This window comes from Homo sapiens, chromosome Y (genome assembly GCF_000001405.40).
Source record: "Homo sapiens chromosome Y, GRCh38.p14 Primary Assembly".
NCBI lineage: Eukaryota > Metazoa > Chordata > Mammalia > Primates > Hominidae > Homo > Homo sapiens.
In genome coordinates, this window is record NC_000024.10 from 5,715,346 (window position 1) to 5,742,609 (window position 27,264).

Here is a 27,264-nt window from a genome sequence, read left to right on the forward strand (position 1 = left end):
GCAGGAAGAAGCCAGAGTAGTCATTGCTGTTTTTCCATCTCTGTGACCAACATCTTAAGAATAAGGTGAATAAAAGCCAAAGGGGGATTGAAACAACCTTTGCAAAAAATATATCAGTGAGAAAATTTTGACTATGAGGAACTATATGCCAAAAAATTGGAAAATCTGTAAGAAATGGATAAATTTCTGGGCACATGCCATCTACCAAGATTAAACCATGAAGAACTCTAAAACCTGAACAAACCAATAACAAAAAATGAGATCAAAACTGTAATAAAAATTCTCCCAGGATATAAAAGCCCAAGACCTGATGGCTTCACTACTGAATTGTACCAGAAATTTAAAGAACTAAATCCAAGCCTGCTCAAACTATCCCTAAAAATAGAGGATGAGAAAATACTTCCAAACTCATTCTACGAATCTAATATTAGCATGATAACAAAGCCAGTCAAAGACATGTTAAAGTAAAACAAAACAACAGGCCCCAATGTCTCTGATGAATATTGATGTAAAAACCTTAACAAAAAATTAGCAAACTGAATTAAACAATACACTAAAAAGATTATTTATCATGACCAAGAAGTCTTTATTCCTATTACACAAGGATGGTTCAGCATAAGCAAATCAATCATATCAATAGAATGAAAGAAAAAAAAACTATGATTATTTCAATTGAAGTCAAAATAATTACATTCAATACCCCTTAATGAGAAAAACTCTGAAAAACTGAACACACTACCACATAATAAAAGCCATATATGACAGACCCACAGCTAGTATATCACGCTGAATAGTAAAATAATAAAAGCCTTTCCTCTAAGATTTGCAACATGATAAGGATGCCCATTTTCACCACTGTTATTCAATATAATACTGGAATTCCTAACTAGAGCAATCAGACAAGAGAAATACATAAAGTACATTTAAATTGGAAAGGAAGAAGTCAAATTATCTTTTTTTGCTGATGACATAATTCCATATTGGGAAAAAACTAAAGAGTGCAAAAAAACCATTAGAACTGATAAAAAAAATTAGTAAACTTGCACGATATGAAATAAAAATACAATAATCAGTAGCATTTCTATATCCCAACAGTGAATAAACTGAAATTGAAATTAAAAAGTAGTCAAATTAATAATAGCCACACACAAAAGTAAATACCTAAGAATTAACATAACCAAAGAAGTAAAAGATCGCTATAATAAAAAACTATAAAACACTGACAAAAAAAATTTCAGAGAACACCAAAAAAGGTAAAATATTCCATGTTCATGAATTAGAAAAATTAATATTTTTTAAATGTCCATATTACACAAAGCCACTACAGATTTAATGTAATCCCTATCAAAATACCAATGACATTCTTTATAGCAATAGAAAAAAGAATCCTAAAATTCATATGGGACCACAAAAGACCCAGAATAGCCACAGTTATCTTAGGCAAAAAGAACAAAACCAGAGGAATTATATTACCTGCCTTCAAATTATGTTACAGAGCTATAGTAACCAAACAGCATAAACCTGACATAAAAACAGACACATAGACCAAAGGAACAGAATTGAGAACCTACAAACAAATCCAAACACATACAGTGAACTCATTTTCTCCAAAAATGCTGAGAACATACACTGGGGAAAAGACAGTCTCTTCAATAAATAGTGCTGGGAAAACTGGATATTCACATGCTGAAGAATGAGACTAGATCCCTATCTCTCACCATATACAAAAATTAAATCTAAATGGATTAAAGACTTAAATCTAAGACCTCAAACTGTGAAACCATTAAAAGAAAAGTATTAAAAGGAAACATTTGAAAAATGCTCAACATCAATCCAGGCAAAGTTTTCTGTAATACCCCACAAGAACAGGCAATGAAAGCAAAAATGTACAAATGGAATCATATCCAGTTAAGAAGCTTCTGCACAGCAAATAAAACAATCAACAAAGTGAAGAGACAACCCACAGAATGGAAGAAAATATTTGCAAATTACCCCCCAGACAAGGTCTTAACAAGCAGAACATTTAAGGAGCTCAGCTCAAACAACTGTATTAAAAAAAACAAAACACTAATAATTTAATCAAAAAATGGACACAAAATGTGAATATACATTTCTCAAAAGATGACATGCAAATGGCAAGCAGGCATATGAAAGTGTGCACAATATCATTGATTATCAGATAAATGCAAATAAAACTACAATGAGATATCATCTCGCCCCAGTTAAAATGGCTTTTATCTAAAAGACAGGCAATAACAAAAACTGGAGAGGGTGTGGAGAAAAGGGAACCGCCATGCACTATTTGTGGGAATGTAAATTAGTACAACCACTATAGAGAACAGTTTGGAGGGTCCTCACAAAACTAAAAATAGAGCTACTATATGATTCAACAATTCTACTGCTTGGTATATACCCCAAAGTACAGAAATTGGATATCTCCACCCCTTTTTTGACAACTCTGTTCACAATAGACAAGATTTGGAAACAACCTAGGTGTTCCTCAACAGATAAATGGATAAAGAAAATATAAAATTTATACACAATGTAGTACTATTCATTCACATAAAAAATGAGATTCAGTCATTTGCAACAACATGGATAGAACTGGAGGTTATCATATTAAGTGAAATAAGCCAAGCACAATAAGATCAGCATTGCATGTTCTCAATTATTTGTGAGATCTGAAAATTAAAACAATTGAACTCATGGAGATAGAGTGTAGGATATGATTACCAGAGGCTGGGAAGCATAGTAGAGAAAGTGAGTGGGTGGCAGGGATGGTTAATCATTCCAAAAAGTAGTTAGAATAAATGGATAATACCTAATATTTGATAGTAAAACAGGATGACTATAGTCAATAATAATTTAACTGTACATTAAAAAATAACTAAAAGAATATAATTAGATTGTTTATAACATGAAGGATAAATGCTTGAGGGGATGGATAACCCATATTTCATGGTGTGATTGTTACACTTTGCAAGCCTGTATCAAAAAATCTTATGTCCTCTGATATGGCTTGGCTGTGTCCACACCCAAGTCTCACCTTGAATTGTAGCTCCCATAATCCCCATGTGTTGTGGGAGGGACCCAGTGGAGATAATTACATCACGGTGGCAGGTTTTTCTTGTGCTGTTTTTATGGTAGTAAATAAGTCTCAAGAGATCTGATGGTTTTCAAAAGGGCAGTTCCCCTGCACATGCTCTCTTGCCTGCTGCCATGTAAGGCATGCCTTTTTTCTTCTGCCATGATTGTGAGGCCTTCCCAGCCATGTGGAACTGTGAGTTCATTAAACTTCTTTTTCTTTTTAAATTACCCAGTTTTGGGTATTTCTTCATAGCAGTAAGAAAATGGACTAATGTAGCAAATTGGTACCAGGATTAGGGCACTGTTATTATATTAAGATACCCGAAAATGTGGAAGTGACTTTGGAACTGGGTAACAGGCAGAGATTGGAACAGTTTGTAGGGCTCAGAAGACAGGAAGATGTGGGAAAGTTTCAACGTTCCTAGAGACTTGTTGAATGGTGTTGACCAAAAAGTTCAGGCTGAGGTGGTCCCAGAAGGAGATGAGGAAGTTATTGAGAACTGGAGCAAAGGTGATTATTGCTATGCTTTAGCAAACAGATTGGTAGCGTTTTTCCCCTGCCCTAGATATCTGTGGAACTTTGAACATGAGAGAGATGATTTAGGGTATCTGGCAGAATAAATTTCTAAGCAGTAAAGCATTCAAGAGGTAACTTGGGTGCTCTTAAATGCATTCAGTTTTATTCATTCACAAAGAAATGGTTTGAAGTTGGAACTTATGTTTAAAATGGGAGCAGAGCATAAAAGTTTGGAAAATTTGCAGCCTGATGATGTAATAGAAAAGAAAAACCCATTTTCTGAGGAAAAATTCAAAGCTGGCTGGAGAAAATTTCATAAGTATTGAGAAGCCAAATATTAATCACCAAAACAGTAGGAAAACTTTCTCCAGGACATGTCAGAGGTCCTCATGGCAGCACCTACAGTCACAAGCTGGGGGTGTCTAGGAGGAAAAAAATTGTTTTGTGGGCCAGATCCAGGGTTTTGCTGCTTTGTGCAGTCTTGGGACCTGGTGCCCTGCATTACAGCCATGGCTAAAGGGGGCCAATGTACACCTCAAGACATTGTTTCAGAGGGTTCAAGCCCCATACATTGGTGTCTTACATGTGGTATTGGGCCTGTGGGTGCACAGAAGTCAAGAACTGGGAATCTCCACCTAAATTTTGGAGGATGTATGGAAATTGCTGGGTGTCCAGGCAGAGTTGTGCTGCAGGGGCAGAATCCTCACGGAGAACCTCTGCTAGGGCAGTGCAGAAGGGAAATGTGAGGTGGGAGTCCCCACACAGAATCCCCACTGAGGCACTGCCTAGTGGAGTGATGAGAAAAGAGCCACCATCCTCCAGACCCCAGAATGGTAGATCCAATCACAGCTTGCACCATGCACCTGAAAAAGCCACAGACACTCAATGCCAGCCTGTGAAAGCAGCCAGGAGTGAGGCTGTACTCTGCAAAGCCACAGGGGCAGAGCTGCCCAAGACCACGAGAACCCACCTCTTGCATCAGTGTGACCTGGATGTGAAACATGCAGTCAAAGGTGATCATTTTGGAGCTTTAATATTTGACCACCTCACTGGATTTCACATTTTCATGAGGCCTGTAGTCTCTTCATTTTGGCCAATTTCTCCCATTTGGAATAGGCATATTTACCCAATGCCTGTACCTCCATTGTATCTAGGAAGTAACTAACTTGCTTTTGATTTTACAGGCTCATAGGTGGAAGGGAGTTGCCTTGTCTCAGATGAGACTTTGGACCGTGAACTTTTGAGTTATTGCTGAATCAAGACTTTGGGGAACTGTTGAGAAGGAATGATTTGTTTTGAAATGTGAGGACATGAGATTTGGGAGTTGCCAGGGGCAGAATGGTGTGGTTTGCCTGTGTCCCCACTCAAATTTCATCTTGAATTGAAGCTCCCATAATCTCCACGTGTTGTGGGAGGGAACCAGTGAGGGGTAATTGAATCATCAGGGTGGGTTTTTCCCATGCTATTCTTGTGATAGTGAATAAGTCTCAAGAGATGAAAGAAAGAAAGAAAGAACAATGATGTGAAATAATTAAAACGCTAATACATTGCTGATGGGAATGTAAAATGGCGTAGCTACTAAGGAAAATGGTATGGTGATTCATAAAAAAAAAAAAAAATATTAAACATAAAATTACCATATGACCCAACCATTCTACTCTGGGTATATACTCAAAAGTAGTTGAAATAGAGATTCAAACAGGTATCAGTACCCATATTCATAGCTGCATTATTCACAGCAGCCAAAAGTTGGAAGCAACCTAAGAGTTTATCCTAAGAGCAAACAGCAAATGGAGAAGCACTTATTCTAGAAAATCTACTAATATTCTGCAAGAATAGTGAGAGCCTGTGGCATTTGAATCATAATCCATATCTCGCCACACAATTTAGTGTGACAAAAGCTTCATCCCTTCCAGGGTCATTCAAAAATGCAGAACTCCTTTTCCCTCCAACTCCAAGTCTAGGGTTAAGGTATCTTCCACTGAGGCACAGGCTTCCAGGATTTCTAATTTCTAACAGGTCTGTGTTGCAGAAGCTCTATTATAGGTTAAGAACACTGTGCCTAGTTGCCCATACTCCAATTCACTTATAGAGTAGAAATCCCATGCTGGGTTAGGCATGTTAAGAAGACCAGAGGATACTTCACCTGTCTGCTAAAAAGCAGGGTTATACATCTAAAAGAAGCAGGCTACTGTCCTCATTTTTATCGTGAGAGCAGTGGCACACATATATTGCCCAGGGGATGATAAATACAGAGAGCTCCAAAGCTATCCTCAAGAGAAGGGACTCATTTGGAGCAAAGTATGGGGGAAGTTCAAGCTAAGGGAGTTGTCAAAAACAGTGGAGATTTTGCTGGTAAGGCAATAAGAAGAAGCTGATAGCTCCATGAGACAAAAAAATAAAAATTACATTAAAATTTAAAAGACTGTAGATTAGCTGTAGGTTTAGCAGAGACAACCAGGAAAAAGTGCAGAGAAAAAGCCCGCTTGGGTCAGAACCAACATCCAAATGTTGCCTTAAAGACTACCCCTGCAAAGGGGCTCACATTTGATTGTATCAGACTGCTGAGCAATTTATGCCTTAGGACATTGCCAAAAACAATCAAGCAATCAGCCAGTAATGAGTGGAGCCTAACTGGCTGAGAACGGATACCAAATGAAGCAAGTAGTTTAGCTGAAAAATCAGGGAAAGAGACTGTCAAATAAACCTTAGCTAAAATTACTGACATCTCAGTGTATGTCCATATTTAAGGCCGTACCCTCTGATGCATGACATCAGAGGTAACACATTCAATGGGATATAGACTTCGCCAAATATTCTAGCCAAGTAACAAAACAAGCAAATAAACAACAACAAAATCAAGTCCCAGAGAGGGTAGTGGTATCAGTATTCACAATTGATGCAATATATAATCTAAAATGTCTAGTTTTTGATAAAATTATGAGGTATTCTGTGACAAAATTATGAGTTACACTGTGAGCTCTACATGAAAAAAAGCAAGCAACAAAAACTAACTGTGAGAGGGCTCTGTTGTCAGATTTAACAGATAATAACTACAAAGAAGCCATTATAATCATATTCAAAGATTTAAAAGAAACTCTGCTTAAATAAGTAAAGGAAGGTAAAATGCCAATATTTTATCAAATACAGAGTATCAATAACGAAATAAAAAGCACAAAAATACCAAATGGAAACTCTGGAGTTGAAAAGTACAGTTATCAATATGTAAAATTGACTAGAGTGATTCAACAGTGCATTTGAACCAATAGAAGAATGAATCAGAACACTCGAATTTAGGTTGATAGATATTATGCAATCTAAAGAAAAAGAGAGAAAAAAGAACAAAGAAAAAGGCATATATTCAGATCTTATTTTTTATTCTATCTGACAATGTTTGCCTTGTTTTTTGTTGTTTAATCTATTCACTTCATTGAAGTAAAAAAGAAATAAAGAACAATTATGAGGAAAGTGGGTATCAGAAAGAAAGAAGAAAAAGGAGTGGAAATAATACTAGAAGAAATAATGTTATTAAATTTCTCAATTTGATAAAAGTCATATATACACAATAAATTTAATGAAGTCTGATAAACACAGAGATCCACATGGACACATTTCAGTAAAAATACTGAAAGATAAAGAAAATAAGAAAATTTTGGAGGGAAAAAAAAGACTTTCAGTGGATACCAGAAGGCAAGAAGGCAGTGAAATAACAAAGAGTCGTAAGAAAAAAAAAAGGTAAGAAATAATTTTTTATCCAGCAAAATATTGGTCAGAAATGAAAGTGAAATACAAACCTTCCTAGATAAACAAATATTGAGACAATTTATTGCTAGCATATCCATGTTACATAAAATACTAAAGGAAATTCTTCAGACTGAAAGTCAGAGACTCAAGATAGTAATTTGAAACCACATTAAAAAACACAATATTGGCAGTAAAAGCAATTATGTAGGTAAACGTAAAAGACAGTATAATTTTGTTTTTTCTTTTTTCTCCTCTTAATGAATTTGAAAAACCCTTGTATAAGACAAGACAAGACATATGCATCTATATATAAACAATTGTATAAGATATATACATATATAATTATATATACACAATTATATATCATTTTGTTCAGTCTATAACATATAGAAATTCATATACAATAATAATACATAATTACAACATTAGCACAAAGATAGGTAGAAGCAAAGTATTGGAGTAAGGAAATGATGCCAGATTATAACTAGAATTCACAGGAAAAGAAATAAAAGAACAAAATTGTAAAATAGGAAGGTTAAAAAAATATAATTTATAATTATGTACTACTCCCCTTTTATCAGCTTCATTAAAAATACATAAATTAATAATTATGGCAATGTAGTTATTGAATTTTTTACATATATATGTTACAGAAAAGTAAATAGTAAATATAGGTATATAGGAGTAATATCTCTATGTCCCATGGAATTAACTTACATTAAGTCAAAAACAACTATGATAAATTAAGTTTCAAGCACTAGACACTAAGAGAATAACACTCATACACACATACACACACATATACATACCCGCACATGTATAGTGAAAAATATCATAAAAAGCATTAAAATATTACACTAGAATGTATTCACCTAATGCAAAAGAAAGCTGCAAGGAGAAATGGGGAAACCATGAAACACATAGAAAATAAAAAGAAAAATGACGGATATCAGTTCATGATATTAATAACAAAGTAAATGGATTAAACAACATAAAACAAGGCCAACAGTGTCAGAATACAAAATAAGATCTGAATATATGCCTACAGTATGAACAACCCAGATTCAATGCATTGAATGTAAAATTACGGAAAATCATTATACTATGTAAGTAAGAATCATGAGAAAGCTGAAGTGACTACACTAATATCCGGCAATAAAAGACTTTAAAATATGTTACCAGAAATAAAGAGGAACATTTTATCATGAAAAAATGGCCAAACTATCAGAAAAACATAATAACTACAAACATACATGCACCTAACTCCAGTGCCACCAAATTCATGGAGCAAATTTGACAGAATTGAAGAGAGAAATAGACACTTCAATAATAGTTAGATATTTCTATATTTCTTTTTCAATAATGGAACAACTAGGCAGTAGATCAATAAAAAGAAGACTCAAACAGCACTCTAGCCCAACTAGAACCAGCAGACATGTATCTGACTACAAGAGCAGAATACATATACTATGAAACTGCACAGGCATGATTTTCCAGGATAGACTATATGGTAGGCTATAAAAGAAGCCTCAATAATTTGAAAAGATTGAACTCATCCAGAATATGTCTTTTTATCAAAACAAAAGAACATTAGAAATGAATAACAAAAGAAATTTGGAAAATTAACAAATATTTAGAAATTAAACAAGATCTTCCTAAGTAATAAATTGGTTAAAGAAGAAACAACAAGAGAAATTCCAAAACATTTAATGGTGAAATACTCAATGCTTTTCCCATAAGATCAGAAGCAAGACATAGGATGTCCATACTTACCACTTCTATTAAACATTAAACATTGTACTAGAGGTTTTACCACAAGTAACTAGGCAAAATAAATAAATAAATAAAAGATACTAAAACATCCAGATTGCAAAGAAAGAAGTAGAATTATCTCTATTTGAAGATGATATGAGTTTCTTATACAGAAAATCTTATGAAATCTATTAAAAACTTGTTAAAACTAATACTTCAGCAGTGCTTCAAGGTATAAGAGCAATATATTAAAAATTGAGTGTATTTCTATATTCTAGCATTAAACATTTCTTAAAAAATTAAGAGAATCTCATTTACAGTAGAATAAAATGAAATAAAATGCTGAGAAATAAATTTAACAAAAGTCCTTCTTATCTTCTAAAAATTCTAAACTATTGGTGAAAGAAATTAACAATCTAAATAAGTGAAAAGACATCCCATGTCCTTAATTTGTAAGACAATATTATAAGATGCAATCCTTCACAAATTGATCTTCAGATTCGACACAATTCAACTTGAATTTTGCAGAAATAAGACGCTAATCTGGAGCTGGGTGCAGTGGCTGACGCCTGTAATCCCAGCACTTTGGGAGGCCGAGGCGGGCGGATCACCTGAGGTTGGGAGTTCGAGACCACCCTGACCAACATGGAGAAACCTCGTCTCTACTAAAAATTAGCTGGGTGTAGTGGCACATGCCTGTAATGCCAGCTGCTTGGGAGGCTGAGGCAGGAGAATTGATTGAACCCAGGAGGCAGAGGTTGCAGTGAGCCGGAGATCGTGCCATTGCACTCCAGCCTGGGCAACAAGAGGGAAATTCCGTCTCAAAAAAAAAAAAAAAGACGCTAATCCTAAAACCATGGGAATTTAAGAGAACTAGATTAGCCAAAATAATTGTGAAAAATAAGAACAAAGTTGGATAACTAAGCCTTTTCCATTTTAAAACTTTCCTCAAACCAATAGCAATCAATGGACAATTGATTTTCAGCCAATTAAAGTCAATAAATAATAAATAGTCTTTCCACAAGTGGCATTGGGATTGCTGGATATCCACATGCAAAAGGATAATTTTTAGATACCTTCCTTACAAAATGCATAGAAATAACCACTCCAAATGGATCATTGACCTTAATATGAGAACAGAAGCTATAAAACTATTAGAAATCACAGGAGCAAACCTTTATGACTTTGCATTAAGCAAAGTTTTCTTAGATCTGACACTAAAAGTACAAGCAACAACAAAAAAATACATTATACCTCATCAACTTCAAAACTTCTGTACGTCAAAGGATATCATCGAGAAAGTGAAAAGACAAACCACAGAATGTGAGAAAATATTTGTAAATTGTATATCTTATAAGAGTCTTATATTTAGACCATAAAAAGAACTTGTAAAATCCAACAATAGTAATGCAAAAGATATACTTTTTAAATGGGTAAAAAATACAAATAGACATATTTTTCCAAAGAATATAAACAAATTACTAGTAAGTATATCAAAAAATATTTAACTTCATTAGCAGTTAGGGATATGCAAATCTAAATCACAATGAGATAGCACTTCTTACTCCTAAGATTGCTGTAATAAAAAAGACAAATAATAACGAATCTTGGTAAGTGCGTAAAGAAATGGGAACATTCATGCATTTCTGATGTTTCTGTAAAATAGTGCACCCAATTTGGAAAACAATTTGGCAGTTCCTCAAATGGTAAACAGAGTTGGTGTAAGACCCAGCACACAAACTTTTACATAAATGTTAATAAAAGCATTGTTCATGATAGCCAAAAGATAAAAACAACCCAAATGTCCATGATCCGATGAATGGATAAATAAGAAGTAGCATATCCTTATAAAAGATAATCTTGGGTAATAAAAAAAGAACTGAAGTACTGATACATACTACAACATGAATGAAATTCGAAAGCATTATGCTAAATACAACAGACCACTTACCCAACTGTCCGAATAAAGGATTGCATTTCTATTATTTGTACAGTATAGGCAAATCTATTGAGACAGAAAGTAGATTAGAGATTGCTTAGGGCTCTGGAGTTTGACAGGAAATGGGCAGTGGCTGCTAATAGTTTCTTTTTGAAGTGATAAAGATGTCCCAGAATTGAGATGGTTGCACAATGCTGTGAATATACTAAAAACCACTGAATTTCTCATGTTAAATGGGTGAATTTTAAGATATAAATTACATCTCACGAAAATTGTTAAAAAGGAATAATTATAAATTATATCATTTTCCAGTGAAAATGACTTTGCATCAATTTCTTCATCACAAATAGGCTACAATCTCGATATTGAAACTATGATGTATTATTTTTTGTGAAATTTCAGGCTGCCAGATAAATGGCTTTTCTGATGACCAGGAAATTAAATTTTGTTTGAAAGTAAAGTTATATGTGTGTTCATGTATTTTCATGCCTGCAATTATGGTTTAATATTATCTGAAATATATAAAACTATATTCCCAACTATTTCTCAAATATAATTGTGCAAAAAATATAGAACATTTTAAACGTTAATCTCCTAGGGACACGTTTATTTTAAGTGAGCTCTAAATAAAGAAAGATAAATGGTTATCTAATGCGGAGCTATTAGTCTTACTATAACTTATTTTACATCCTATTCTTTGGTACTAAGCATGATAGGGTAATGACAGTCACTGGACTCTATAACAAATTGAATCTCTATTTTTATTTTTTAAAATTATGTACAAAAACTTGAATTGCCATTATCACTCAGCAAGCACACATGTTCAGAGAGAAGAAAAAGAGAATTTTTTTTTTCTTTTCTGGAGACCTAAGTGTGAAAACAAATTATACTAATCATTTATAAAGTTATTTGAAATTAACTAGTGGTTGCAACCCAAAGTTAAGAAAATAGTGAAGATTATATGGACAGTTTCTTTCTCTAAAAATAACCAAATTCTTCCTTCCTGTTCTGCTCTTCTCTTAATACCATGCACCTGAACAAAAATCATTATGTCATTTTTCTAGCTTTGTGAAGGTAGAAAATGTATGAGGCTAAGTGTCTTAGAAAACCTTTGTATTATCGTTTATCCTATGGTTTCTGTAAATAAATGATATTCTTATCTTTTTAAATATTTCCACACATTATTTTCAAAATTATGTTTTGAATTTGATAACTTTGTATTAAAAATATTTCAAGCAGTGAGTCCACAAAGAAGCATGTATTATTTGGATGCAATACTATTTAATTTGATTAGGATATTTTTCTGGAAAAAATAATTCTGAATTGAATAAAGGAGGCAAAAGATAATTTATAAAAAGTAAAATTTCTCAACAGTTGACATCACTCATTGCTGTTTTTTATATTTACGTACAATAAAATTCACTCATGTTCTATAGTTCTACCAGTTTTGACAAATGCATACAATCATGTATCTATCACCATTTTCATATAGAGAACACTTTCATTACTCCCAAAATTTATTTGTGCTGCTCTGCTAGTCAACATTACCTGAATTCCCAGCTCCTGGCGATCACCGGTATGTTTTTCATCCCTATAAGCTTGCCATTTCCAGAATGTTATATAATAGGAACCATACACGATGTAGACTGTTGATTATGGCTTCTTTCATTTAACAAAATTCATCTGAGATTCATCCATGTTGCTCTAAGAATCAATATGCTTCTTTTTATTGCTGAGTAGTATTTCAGTGTGTGGCTATGACACAGTTCATTCTTTTACCAGCTGAAAGACAGTAAGGGTCATTTCTACCTTTTGGTGATTATTAATAATGATGTTTAACTTGCACATAAAAATTTCTACGATAACATACGTTTTCAAATATTTTGCATAAATATGCAGGACTGGAATTGCTGGGTTTTTTTTCTGTTTTTGTTTTTCAAGTGTATGTTTAGCTGTATAGGAAGTTGACAAACTGTTATCTAAATTCTCTGTGCCATTCTGTGTCAGCAGCAGCATCAACTGAAGATTCTAGATGTTTGGAATACTTACCAGCACTTGGTATTTTTAGTTTGTTCTTTTAATCACTCAAATAGAATGGTATCTCTTTGCATTTTAAATTTGTGTTTCTTTAATGTCTGACTGTGCTGAGCCTCTAATTATATGCTTATCTGACATATTCATGTCTTCTTTGATAGTCTATACAGATATTTGCCAGTTTTTTAATTGAGTTCTTCATTTTCTTATTGTTGTTTTTTAGTTTTTTAAATTTCAACTATTATTTTTGATTCAGGGGGTACATGTGCAGATTTGTTACCTGGGTATATTGGGTGACGCTGAGGTTTGGGGTATGAATAATCTCATCATATTCATAGTTGTTCAACGCTTTCTCCCCTCTCTCCCTTCTAATACTCTTCAGTGTCTATTGTTGCTGTCTTTATTTCCATGAGTACCCAATGTTTAGCTTCCACTTATAAGGGAGAACATGCAATATTTGGCTTTCTGTTGCTGTGTTAATTTGCTTAGGATAATGGCCTCCAGCTGCACCCATGTTGCTGCAAATAACATAGTTTGTTCTTTTAAAGACTGCGTATATCCTATGGTATATGCGTGCTATATATAAGAAATCCAGTCCACCACTGATGGTCACCTAGGTTGACTCCATGTCTTTGCTATTGTGAACAGTGCTGTGTCAACATGCAAGTGCATGTGTCTTTTTGGTAGAACAATTTGTTTTCTTTTGGAGATAATACTCAGTAATGAGAGTTTCTGGGTTGAATGGTAATTCTGTTTTGTGTTCTTTGAGAAATCTTCAAAATGCTCTCCACAAAGGCTGAATTAATTTACATTCCCACCAATAGTGTATAAAAATTCTCTTTTCTCCTCAACTTTGTTAGCGTCTGTTGTTTTTTGGCTTTTTAATAATAGCTATTCTGACTGGTGTGAGATAGATTCTCATTGTGGTTTTGATTTGCATTTATCTGGTGAAGAATGATGAGGAATTTTTTTTATATGTTTGTTGGCCCCTTGTATGTCTTCTTTTGAGAAGTGTCTGTTTATATTTTTTGCCCACTTTTGAATGGAGGCTTTTGTTTTTTGCTTGTTGTTTGTTTATATTCTCTACAGTCTAGATAGTAGACCTTTGCTGAATGTATACTTTGGGAACATTTTCTCCCATTCTATAGGTTGTCTGTTCACCTGGTTGATAGCTTATTTTGCTTTGCAGAAGCTCTTTAGTTTAATTAGGTCCCATTTGTCAATTTTTGTTTTTGTTGCAATTGCTTTTAAGGATTCAGTCATAAATTCTTTGCAAAGGCTAATGTCCAGAATGGTGTTTCGTATGGTTCCTTCTAGAATTCTTACAGTTATTGGTCTCACATTTAAATCTTTAATTCATCTTAGGTTAATTTTTGTATATGGTGATAGGTAGGGGTCCAGTTTCATTCTTCTACATGTGGCTAGTCAACTGTCCCAGCACAATTTATTGAATAGAAAGTCCTTTCCCCACTGCTTAATTTTGTCAACTTTGTCAAATATTAGATGGCTGTAGGTGTGCAACTTTATTTCTGGGTTCTCTATTTCTGTTCCATTGGTCTATGTGTTTGCTTTTGCATCAGTCCCGTGCTCTTTTTGTTACTGTAGCCTTATAGTACAGTCTGAAATCAGATAATGTGATGCCTCCAGCTTTGTTCTTTTTGCTTAGGATTATTTTGGCTATTTGGCTTATTTTGTGGTTCCATATAAATTTTAGAACAGTTTTTTTTTTCAAATTCTGGAAAAATGACTTTGGTAGTTTGATAAGAAGAGTGTTGAATCTGTATTTTGCTTTGGATAGTATGGCCATTTTTATATTTATTCTTCTAATCCATGAGCATAGGATACTTTTTCATTTGTTTGTGTCATCTAATATTTCTTTTAGCAGTGTTTTGTAGTTCTTCTTGTACAAACAAGCCTCTTGCTGCCTTGGTTAGATTTATTCCTAGCTTTTTTTTTTGGCTATTGCAAATAAAATTCTATTCTTGATCCAGCACTCAGCTTTAATATATAGAAATTCTACTGATTTTTGCACATTGATTTTGTATGCTGAAACTTTGCTAAATCTTTTGTGTTCCAGGAGCCTTTCAATGTTCTTTAGGGTTTTCTACATATTGAATCCTACTGGCCATGAATCGACATAGGTTATCATCTTCTTTTCCTAATTAGATGCCTTTAGTTCTTTATCTTTCCTGATTTCTCTGTCTAGCACTTCCAGTACTGTGTTGAATAGGAGTACTGAAGATGGGCATCCTTGTCTTATTCTAGCTTTCAAAAGAATGCTTCTAGTTTTTGCCTGTTTAGTATGATGTTGGCTGTGGGTTTGTCATAGATGACTCATTACTTTAAGGTGTGTTCCTTCAGTGACTAATATATGAAAGTTTTTATCATGAAGAGATGCTGGATTTTATCAAAAGCTATTTCTGTGTCTATTGAGATGATCACATTTTTTTTAAATTTACTTCTGTTTATGCGGTGAATCACATTTATTGATTTGCATATGCTGTACCAATCTTGCATCCCAAGAATGAAACCTACTTGATCACAGTCTTCACGGTCAATTAATTTTTTGAAGTGCTGTTGGATTCAGTTTCCTAGTATATTTTTTTTGACAATTTTTGTGTCTTTGTTAATCAGAGATATTGGCCTATAATTTTCATTTTTTGTTGTGTCTTTGCCAGGTTTTTGTATCAGGATGATGCTGGCCTCATAGAAGGAGTTAGAGAGGAGTCCCTAACTACTAGAATTTTTTTTTAATAGTTTCAGTAGCATTGGTAACATCTCTTTTTTGTATGTCTGGTACAATTTGGCTCTGAATCCATCTGGTCTGGGTTTTGTTTTTGGTTTGTTTGTTTGGTAGTGTTTAAAATTACTGATACAATCTCAAAACTCAGCATTGATCTGTTCACGGTTTCAATCTCTTCCTGATTCAATCTTGGGCGATTGTGTGCTTCCAGCAATTTCTCAATTTCCTCTAAATTTTCTATTTTGTGTGCACAGAGGTGTTTATATTTTCTGAGGATCTTTTGAATTCCTGTGGGATCAGTTGCAATGCCACCTTTGTCTATTGTGACTGTGCTTATTTGGGTCATCTCCTGTTAATCTAGCTAGTAGCCTGTCAATCTTATTTATTTTTTTCAATAGTTTGTATGATTTCAATTTTTTTAATTTATTGAGACTATGCTTTATATATTCTGTATATACATGTATATTGGGTAGAGTATTCTGTGCATGTTTATTAGGTCCAACTGGTTAAGTGTCAAATTCAAGTCCAGAATTTCTTTGTTAGTTTTCTGTCTTGATGATCTGTCTAATGCTGTCAGTGGGATGTTGATATCCCCCAGTATTATTGTGTGGCTTTCTAAGTCTTTTTGTAGACCAAGAAAAACTTGTTTTATAAGAAGAAAACACTCCAATACTGGGTGCATATGTATGTGTATAGTTAAGTCTTCTTGTTGAATTGAACACTTAACCATTATGTAATACCCTTCTTTTTGTTGTTATTGCTTTAAACTCTGTTTTATCTGATATAAGAATAGCAACCCCTGTTCTTGTGTTCTGTTTCCACTGTAGATCTTTCTCTAGATCTTTACTTTGAGTCTATGGATGTTTATGCATGTGTGTTGGGTCTGTTGAAGACAGCAGACTGATAGGGCTTTTTAATGCAGCTTGTTACTCCATATCTTTTAAATTGGACCTTCAGGCCATTTAAATTCAAGGTTAATATTGATATCTGAGGTTTTAATCCTATCATGAAGTTGTTAGCTGTTTGCTTTGTGTTTCCTATTTTGTGGTTGCTTTATAGGGTCTTTGGGCTATGTATTTAAGTTTGTTTTCCTGCTAGCTGCTATGATTTCTATGTTTAGAACTTCCTCAATAATCTCTTGTAAGGCTGGCCTGCTGGTAACAAAGTTTTTCAGGGCTTGCTTGTCTGTAAAATCGTTTGTTTCTCCTTTGCCTATGGAACATAGTTTGGTGGGATATAAAATTCCTGGTTGGAATTTCTTGTTTTTAAGAATATTAAAAATTGGCCTCCAATTTCTGTTAGCTTTAAGGTTTCTGCTGAGAAGTTCACTGCTAGCCTGATGGGGTTCGTTTGTATGTGATCTGACGTTTTTCTCTAGTTGCCTTTAAGTTTTTTGTTGTTGTTGTTGTGTGTGTGTGTGTGTGTGTGTGTTAAACCTGGACAGTCTTGTGACCATATGCTTTGGTGATACTCATTTTGTATTATATCTCTCAGATGTTCTCTGGATTTTTTGAATCTGGATATCTGTCTCTCTAGCAAGATCAGAGAACATTTATTGAATTGTTACCTCAAATATTGTTTTCCAAGTTACCTACATTGTCCACTTCTTCCTCAGGGATGCCAGTAATTTGCAGGTTTCTTCGCTTTACATCATCTAATATTGCTCAAAAACATTGCTTATTTCTTAAAATTCTTTTCTTCTTTATTTTTATCTGGCTATGTTATTTCAAAATACTGGTCTTTAAGCTCTGAAATTATTTCTTCTTCTTGGTACAGTCTATTGATAAAGCTTTCAATTGTATTTTTTAAATTCCTTAAGTTAGTTTGTCAAATCCAGAAGTTCTGATTGCTTTCTTTCAAGATGTTTATCTCTTTCTTTATTTCCCGGATTGCTTTAGAAGTTATTTGTGTTCATTTTCAGCTTGTCTTGGATCTCACTGAGCTTCCTTGAAATCCATGCTTTGAATTCTTTTTGTGATTTCTGCATTTACATTTTGGTTAAGGACCATTGGTGGAGGGGTACTGCAATTCTATGGTGATGTCACTGCATTCATATTTTTCATAGTGCTAGAATTATTGCATTGGTTTCTTCTCATCTGAGAATGTTGGCACTTCTAATTTTTGTAATTTTGTGTTAGGATATTTTCTTTTGTTTTTTATTTCAGTGTAACATTATTATTTTTTTTCTTTCCCTTTCCCTTTCCTCTCCTCCCTACAGGGTGTGACTGTAGTGAATGCTGGGTATGGTCACTTGTCTTTGCTTCTGTAACCCTATGTAGTTTCGTTGACAGGTTTTATATTGATGTGTGTAGTTCAACCTACAAGCCAGTAGATGGTACTTATGGGTGAGAGCTGGCTGTACCCGATGTGGCTAGGTATATACATGATCCTTGTTTACTGGGAGAAGCTCTCTCTCATCTTAGGCAATGGGCTGATCTGTGGAGTGCACAGTTGTCTGAGCTCCTTGCTCTGTCCTATGTTAGGACAGGTCCAAGATTAGCATGGCCTGCCTAAATGTCCCCTGATGTCAGGCACAAACACCAGCACTTAGCAAGGATCCAGTGGACAGCCACTAAACACCCAAAGGTGTGTCTAGGCATGGAGCTGGGAAACCTCCTCAGCCCCAAGTTCTCTGGACAGGGATTAGGGGAGGCCTAAATTCCTAATCCAGGTCAGAGAGCGAGTGCTCCACATGCCTGGAGATATGCCTGGGTGTGGAGCAGAGAGAGATGCCTGTTTGTGAAGCAGAGAGAACCACCCTTCACCAAGATCTCTGCATAGTAGGGGTGGGCAGCTCCAGGTTGCTGAACCAGGTGAGTGAGTGATCTGAATGTCTGAAGATCTGCCTGGGCATAAAATGTAGAGGGCTTGACTGCACCATGATCCATGGCCAACAAGGGGGGTGTTGCTCAGGCTACTAGTCCATGTGAGCAAGTACTCCAAATTCCTGGAGTTCTGTCTGCATGTGTTGTGATGAAAGCCCCACTGCACCACCATCTATGCACAGAAATAGGGGCAGGTAAAGCTGTTGATCCAGGTGAGGAAGTGCTTCAAACACCTGGAGATCTGTTTGGGTATTGAGTGCGAAGTGCCTGCTATACCACAATTTATGTCCATGAAAAGTGGGGCAACTCAGATTGCTGATTCAAGCAAGTGGGCGCTCCAGATGCTTGGATTTCTGCATGGAGGTGGAACGGAGAGGGCCCTGCTATACCACATCTCAAGGGGAGCATGCTGTGGCACCCATTAATGGCATACGCAAGTCAGTTTCAGGTTGCCAGCTGGCCTTGAATGAAAGTGTCATCATCCAGGAGAAAACACAGCTATAGCAGCTCTTCTCCTGCCCCAGGGCTTCAACAGGGGAGTGTACAATTCTGGTACCTACTGCTGTGGTGCTTTCTACAGTTCTGGCTATGGAAGCCCCTACCCTGCTCCAGAGCAGGTGTTCCAATCTCTGGCCTGAGATTAAAATACCTGCATGGCCATACTGCTAGGTCTCAAAGGAATGGCTGATTTTGTATGTGCCTGGATTATAAATGGCATCCTGCTGTCAGTCCTTGGCCTGGGCAAATTTCTGTAGTTTTTCCTGGTGTTTTCCCCTCAGGTCTCCAAGCCTCTCCCCAGGTTAGCACCAGGACTTTAAAGAAACAAAATATTCTCCCTCCTCTTGGGTTGCTCAGATCCCCAGTAGAAAGGTGAGTCACAGAGGGAGGCTCTCTGTCTCTCTCATGTACTGGGGCTTCACTTACTTTTATCAACTGGATGCCATCACATGGACTGCTTTCCCATGTCCTCCCCGCTGGGGCCCCCTTCACAATACTGGTGGATTCTCATTTTTCTTCTTGAATTAAAGCTCACAAAGTTGATCTTTATGCACTATCTTGCTATTTCCAAGTCACTGAGGCATGATAAAAGGATTTAATCAGTCATCTTGGAAAAAAAATCTATTGTTAGTTTACATCCTTTTTTAAATATATAACTCCCTTGTCAGAAATGTGATTTGCAAATATTTTTACCCAGTCTGTAGCTTGCCTTTTCATTCATTCACATTGCCTTTTGCAAAGTAAATATTTTTAATTACAAATAAGCTCAACTTAGCATATTTTTAAAAATAAATTGTGCTTTTGATGTTGTAGTTAAGAATGCTGCCTAACTGATAGTCACAAAGATTTTCTCCAATATTTTCTAATAGAAGTTGTATAGTTTTACATTTTACATTTAGACTTTTGATTGATTCCAGGTTAATTATTTTATAAGATTAAAGATGTGGGTCAAGTTTTAATTTTCTGCTTATAACCTATAATCATTCTGTTGGCACTTGTTGAAAAGTCTATACTTTCACCATTGAATTCAGACCTTTGTTGAAAATCACTTTAGAATTTTGTGGATCTATTTCTGGACTGATTATTGTATTTTTATTAATCATTTTGTATTTATTATTTTGCTATTATTACATTGTAATGATTAGGTACGTGCTATAGTAAATCTTGAAATCAGATCATGTGAGTCCACAAATAGGTTTTTTTTAATCAAAATTGGTTGGCTAATCTAATTCCTTTACCTTTCCCCATAAATTATAGCATCAGCTTGTTGATATCTGCAAAAACAGAAGATCCATCTAAGATTTCCTTTTTATTTAGATTATGTTGACTTTACGGATCAATTGTGGGACCACTGACATCATAACAATATTGAATATTCCAAGCTAAGAACATGGTATATCTCTCCATTTAATTAGATTTTCTTTATTTTTTTCATCTTTTTTTTAATTTTAAGCACACAGATTCCACACACATTTTGTTACATGTATACCTAAATGTGTCTGTGAATAGATACAGTGTTGTTTATTTTCAATCTGTATGTCTTTCATTTCTTTTTCTTGCTTTATTTCATTGGCTAGAACTTACAATATTATGTCAAATAGGAGTGGTGTCAACCTTACTGTTTCTGATTTTTGGGGAAAAGTATTCAATATTTAACCTTTGAATATCGTGTCAGCTGTTATCTTTGTGTAGGACCTGCATGTCAATTTGAAGATATTCCCCTGTTTCTAATTTGCTAAAATTGAATAGTTCTACTAATATAAATTTTGATCTAGTTGGTTGATTATGTTGCTCAAGTCTTCTATGCATTTACTGATTTTCTATTTTTTCCATCAAGTTCTAAGGAGTATTGTAGTCTCCAAGTATTACTGTGGATATGTCTATTTATCCTTTCATTTCTAGCTTATTTTGCTTATATTTTGAAGCTCTGTTGTAAGGTGCATACACACAGGATTGATACGTCTTCTTAGAGAATTGATCTTTTTATTGTCATATAATGTATTTCTTTATACTGGATAGCATTTCTTGCTCTCAAGTAAACTTTATATAGATATAGTAACTCCATCTCTATTTCACTAAAATTTGTATAATATTTTTATTGATGTTTGATATCTATTGACATTTGAAGACTATAGAGAAATTTCATAAAAAGAGTATTATAAACTATTATAGTTTACAGCTAAATACTTGGATCTCTAGTTTATTATGTTCCTAACTTGTATTTTAAGATGATTCCAGCAAATAAAGAATACCGAAATCACTTATTTTTGAAATAATTATGACTATATTTTATTCTTGAAACTAAGGCATATCTTAGAGTTCAATAAACTATACTTCCAAATTTATGTAATTTATTATTAGCTAACTATTTTTTAGCTATAATTAGTTCATTATATATTCTTATAATTTGTTTTCCAATTAATTTCTCTTTTATGTCCTCTCTCAGTGCTAGTTAGAAGCCATATTTCAGCTGACTTGCATGTATAGATGAATGATCATAGTTTCCTTGAGGGTCACAGATACAATAAAAAATACCTACATTTGGGATACTAGGCCAAAGGATCCCAATTATGATAATGAGACCTCATCCACCCACTCCAAGTCATTTATACTTCCCTAAGAATTACTGACAAATTAAAAATACCAACTCTATAAATAATGGAAGTCTTTAATGCATTTGTATATAGGTTGTTACCTTTTTTGTCACAATGATATTTAAGTAGCTAATAAAAATATGCCTTTGAAATATAAATTTTATTATTTTTTTCCTCACCCCAACAACTGCAGAAATAACTGTTCAACCAACTGTGGAAGAGGCCTCTGACAACTGCACTCAAGAATGTCTCATCTATGGCCATTCTGATGCCTGCTGGATGCCGGCATCTCTGGATCATTCCAGCTCTTCACAAGCACAGGCCTCTGCTCTATGCCACAGCCCACCACTGTCACAGGCCTCTACTCAGCACCACAGCCCACCAGTGACACAGACCATTGTTCTCTGCCACAGCCCTCCAGTGACACAGACCATCGCATTGTGCCACAGCCCACCACCGATACAGGTGTCTGCTCTCCACCACAGTCCTCCTCTAGTGCAGGGTACTGCACTTCACCACAGCCCACCATCAGCACAGGCCTCAGCCCTCTGCTACAGCCCTCCTTTAGCACAGGCTGCTGCAATCAGCCACAGCTCTTCTCTGCCACAGGTTATTGCCCTCCATCGTAGTCAGGCCCAATCATCAGTCAGTTTGCAGCAAGGTTGGGTGCAAGGTGCTAATGGACTATGCTCTGTTGATCAGGGAGTGCAAGGTAGTGCAACATCTCAGTTTTACACCATGTCTGAAAGACTTCATCCCAGTGATGATTCAATTAAAGTCATTCCTTTGACAACCTTCGCTCCACGCCAACAGGCCAGACCGTCCAGAGGTGATTCCCCCATTATGGAAACACATCCCTTGTAAAGCTAAAATAGTTACTTCAAATTTTCAGAAAAGATGTATATAGTCAAAATTTAAGATACAATTCCAATGAGTATTCTGATTATCAGATTTGTAAATAACTATGTAAATAGAAACAGATACCAGAATAAATCTACAGCTAGACCCTTAGTCAATAGTTAACCAAAAAATTGCAATTTGTTTAATTCAGAATGTGTATTTAAAAAGAAAAGGAATTTAACAATTTGCATCCCCTTGTACAGTAAGGCTTATCATGACAGAGCGTACTATTTCTGATGTACAGTATTTTTTGTTGTTTTTATCATCATGTGCAATATTACTGATTTGTTTCCATGCTGATTGTGTGGAACCAGTATGTAGCAAATGGAAAGCCTAGAAATATCTTATTTTCTAAGTTTACCTTTAGTTTACCTAAACTTTTGTTCAGATAATGTTAAAAGGTATACGTACTCTAGCCTTTTTTGGGGCTTTCTTTTTGATTTTTGTTTGTGGTTTTCAGTTTTTTTGTTGTTGTTAGTGAGTCTCCCTTCAAAATACACAGTAGGTAGTGTAAATACTGCTTGTTTGTGTCTCTCTGCTGTCATGTTTTCTACCTTATTCCAATACTATATTGTTGATAAAATTTGTATATACATTTTCAATAAAGAATATGTATAAACTGTACAGATCTAGATCTACAACCTATTTCTCTACTCTTTAGTAGAGTTCGAGACACAGAAGTGCAATAACTGCCCTAATTAAGCAACTATTTGTTAAAAAGGGCCCCTTTTTACTTTAATAGTTTAGTGTAAAGTACATCAGAAATAAAACTGTATCTGACATTTTAAGCCTGTAGTCCATTATTACTTGGGTCTTTACTTCTGGGAATTTGTATGTAACAGCCTAGAAAATTAAAAGGAGGTGGATGCATCCAAAGCACGAGTCACTTAAAATATCGACGGTAAACTACTATTTTGTAGAGAAACTCAGGAAGATTTAAATGTTGATTTGACAGCTCAATAGGCTGTTACCAAAGGGTGTTCAGTAAAAATAACAAATACATGTAACTGTAGATAAAACCACATACTAAATCTATAAGACTAAGGGATTTTTGTTATTCTAGCTCAACTTACTGAAGAAAACCACTAATAACAACAAGAATATCAGGAAGGAACTTTTCAAGAAATGTAATTATAAATCTACATCAAACAGAATTTTAAGGAAAAATGCAGAGGGAGAAATAAGGCACATGACTGCTTCTTGCAGTCAAGAAGAAATACCAATAACACACACAGAACAAAAACCATCAAAATCTCATATATGAAATAAAATATATTCTTCTAAGCAAAGAAACAGTACTATTCATAGAAAACATTAGTTTTCTCCTGTTGTCTGTTATTTCCTTCTTTTATCCTCTTAACTGGCCATTATCTTGTATGTGCACATTTTATAAATGTACAGAAACATCACCAACTTGATTTTCTTCCATAGCAAAACTGAGAAAATACCTTGTTTCAGTATAACACTAAACCAAGAGACAATTGATGTTTAATGGGGGCGGTTGGGGTTGGGGGGGAGTCAATATCTCCTATTGATTAACTTAGACATAGATTTTGTAATGTATAACTTGATATTTAATTTATGATTAAACTGTAATTTTGTAACATAAACTGTGGTAATTGCATAATTTCATTGGTGAGGATTTCCTTTGAATATTGAGAAAGTTTCTTTTCATGTGCCCAGCAGGTTAAGTAGCGTTTTCAGAATATACATTATTCCCATCCATTGTAAAGTTCCTTAAGTCATATTTGACTGGGCGTGCAGAATAACTTCTTAACTATTAACTATCAGAGTTTGATTAATAAAATTAATTAATTTTTTTTCTCCTTCGTGTTGTTAATGTTCCAAGGGATTTGGAGCATACTGGTTTTCCAGGTGCATGTGAATCCCGAAGGACTGATGATATTTGAATGTTTATTAAATTATTATCACACAAATGTGTTGATATTGTGGCTATTGTTGATGTTGAAAATTGTAAACTTGGGGAAGATTAAGAAAAGAACCAATAGTGACAAAAATCAGTGCTTCCAGTAGATTTTAGAACATTCTTTGCCTCAAAAAACCTGCAAAGATGATGTGAGATTTTTTCTTGTGTTTTAATTATTTTCACATTTTCTCTCTGCAAACCTTTAGTTTTCTGATGATCTACACACACACATACACACACACACACACACACGTGCACACACACACATTTAAAGGATATAAAAAGAAGAGGTTGAAAGATTATTAAATAACTTATCAGGCATCTCAATGGTTACTATCTATGTTAGTGAAAATCAAATAGGACTCAAAGTTGGATATTTGGGATTTTTCTTCTGACAGTATAATTTATTGAGTTACTAGGGAGGTTCTTAAATCCTCATATCTGGAAACTTGTGAAGTTTTGACACCTTTCCTATAGATATAGGAATGAACCAATACGCTTTTATTACCCTTTCTAACTCTGATTTTATAATCAGACTTAGATTGTGTTTAGAATATTAAATGACTGGGCACCCTCTTCTTGGTTTTTACCAGAGAGGCTTTGAATGGAAGCAGGCTGAGAGTAGCCAAAGAGGCAAGGGGTATTAGCCCAGTTATTCTCCCCTATGCCTTCTCTTCCTAAGCGTCCACTAGGTCTGGCCTTGGAAATCTGTTACTTCTACGGCTTCAGATCTGATGATATCTTTTTCATCACATTACAAGTTATTTCTTTGACTGAATAGACAGTGGTATAGGTTGACACAGCACACAAGTGGCTATTGTGATGTATGATGTATGTAGTCCCACAACTGCAAAACGTCTTACTGAAGCAACAATCGAAAAATGGTTCTGTTTTAAAAAGGATTTTGTTTGATTTGAAATTAAAACTTCAAACTGAATGACTTATATGAGAATAATATGTTCAATCAAAGTAGTTATTCTATTTTGTGTCCATATTCCATTAGATTGTGATTATTAATTTTCTAGCTATGGTATTACTATATCACACTTGTGAGTATGTATTCAAATACTAAGTATCTTATATGCTACGTGCATACACATTCTTTTCTTAAACTTTACCTGTGTTTTAACTAATATTGTGTCAGTGTATTAAAAATTAGCTTTTACATATGATATCTACAATGTAATAAATTTAGAGAGTAATTTTGTGTATTCTTATTTACTTAACATTTTACTTTTAATTATGTAAATTTGGTTAGAAAATAATAATAAATGGTTAGTGCTATTGTGTAATGGTAGCAGTTACAAAGAGCCTCTGCCTTCCCAAACTAATATTTATCACACATGGTCATTAAATGGGAAAAAAATAGACTAAACAAATCACAAATTGTTCAGTTCTTAAAATGTAATTATGTCACACACACAAAAAAATCCTTTTCAATCCTGAGAAAATTAAAGGTGTTTTACTCACATGGATATTTCAACATTAGTTTTTTTTGTTTGTTTCTTTTTCATGGTATTACTGAAGGTGTGTATACTCCCTAATACACATTTATGAAAATCTACTTGTTTAGACTTTTATTTATACTCTTCTGATTTATATTTTTTATTATAATTATTATTTCTTATCTTCTTTTATATTTTTTGGAAACCAAATTTATAGTTAGTTTAGGTAAACTTTTTATTATGACCATTAGAAACTATTTTGAATGTTTCCAACTGGCTCAATTGGCTGGGAAAACATGGGAACAAGAGAAGCTGAAATATATTTCTGCAAGAACCTTTCTATATTATGTGCCAATTACCACACCAGATCAATTTTATGCAGAGGCCTTAAAATATTCTTTCACAGTAGCTTTCTTACACTAACCGTCATGTGCTTTTAGTAAATATGATTTTTAAAAGCAGTTCAAGTTGACAACAGCAGAAACAGTAACAAAAAAATCTGCTCAGAAAAATGTATGTGCACAAATAAAAAAAATTAATGGCAATTGTTTAGTGACTGTAAGTGATACTTTTTAAAGAGTAAACTGTGTGAAATTTATACTATCCCTGCTTAAAATATTAAGATTTTTATGAAATATGTATTTATGTTTGTATTGTGGGAAGATTCCTCCTCTGTGATATCATACAGCATCTGAAAGTGAACAGTATCCCAAAGCAGTTCCAAGCATGCTTTGGAAGTAAGAAGGTTGACTATTGTATGGCCAAGGATGGCAGTATGTAATCCAGAAGCAAACTTGTATTAATTGTTCTATTTCAGGTTCTGTATTGCATGTTTTCTTATTAATATATATTAATAAAAGTTATGAGAAATAAACATTCATTTTTATTGTGTGTGTTAATTCAAAACTCAAATGATTCACTTTATTTTAAATAGATTTTCAAATGTATATAGAAAATACCCTTTTTCAATGGTACATTTTGGATTTAGCATATTTTTGTTCACTCTGAAAACTCCTTCAATATAATTTCTGACTTGAACATAATTTCAATCACTTTTCAAAATTGCTGAACACTATTGTAGTGTTTCTGAACATTTATTTTGCATCATTCAAGACAAGATTTAAGTGATATTTACTTATTCCAGATTAGATCTATTGCTTCACTTAATGTAAAAGTTACCTAAGGATTTCTCTGTACAACCATAGGAGATCCAGGTGAAATAAGTTTCTGGAGATGGTTGATAATATTTGTGGAACAAA

At 34.3% G+C, this 27,264-nt stretch overlaps 1 protein-coding gene across 5 annotated transcripts in view; it reads left to right on the forward strand.

Moving 5' to 3' along the window:
- Window positions 1-26,883, forward strand: part of PCDH11Y (protocadherin 11 Y-linked) — a 741,933-nt gene extending 715,050 nt beyond the window's left edge. For 4 of the 5 annotated variants that reach the window (XM_017030079.2, XM_017030081.2, XM_017030080.2 and 1 more), the window contains one exon: window positions 21,927-26,883. In XM_017030079.2, the coding sequence (XP_016885568.1) occupies window positions 21,927-22,597 (671 nt within the window). In that variant the 3' untranslated portion in view covers window positions 22,598-26,883. The remainder of the gene's footprint in view (window positions 1-21,926) is intronic. The other variant, NM_001395587.1, reaches the window with a different exon arrangement.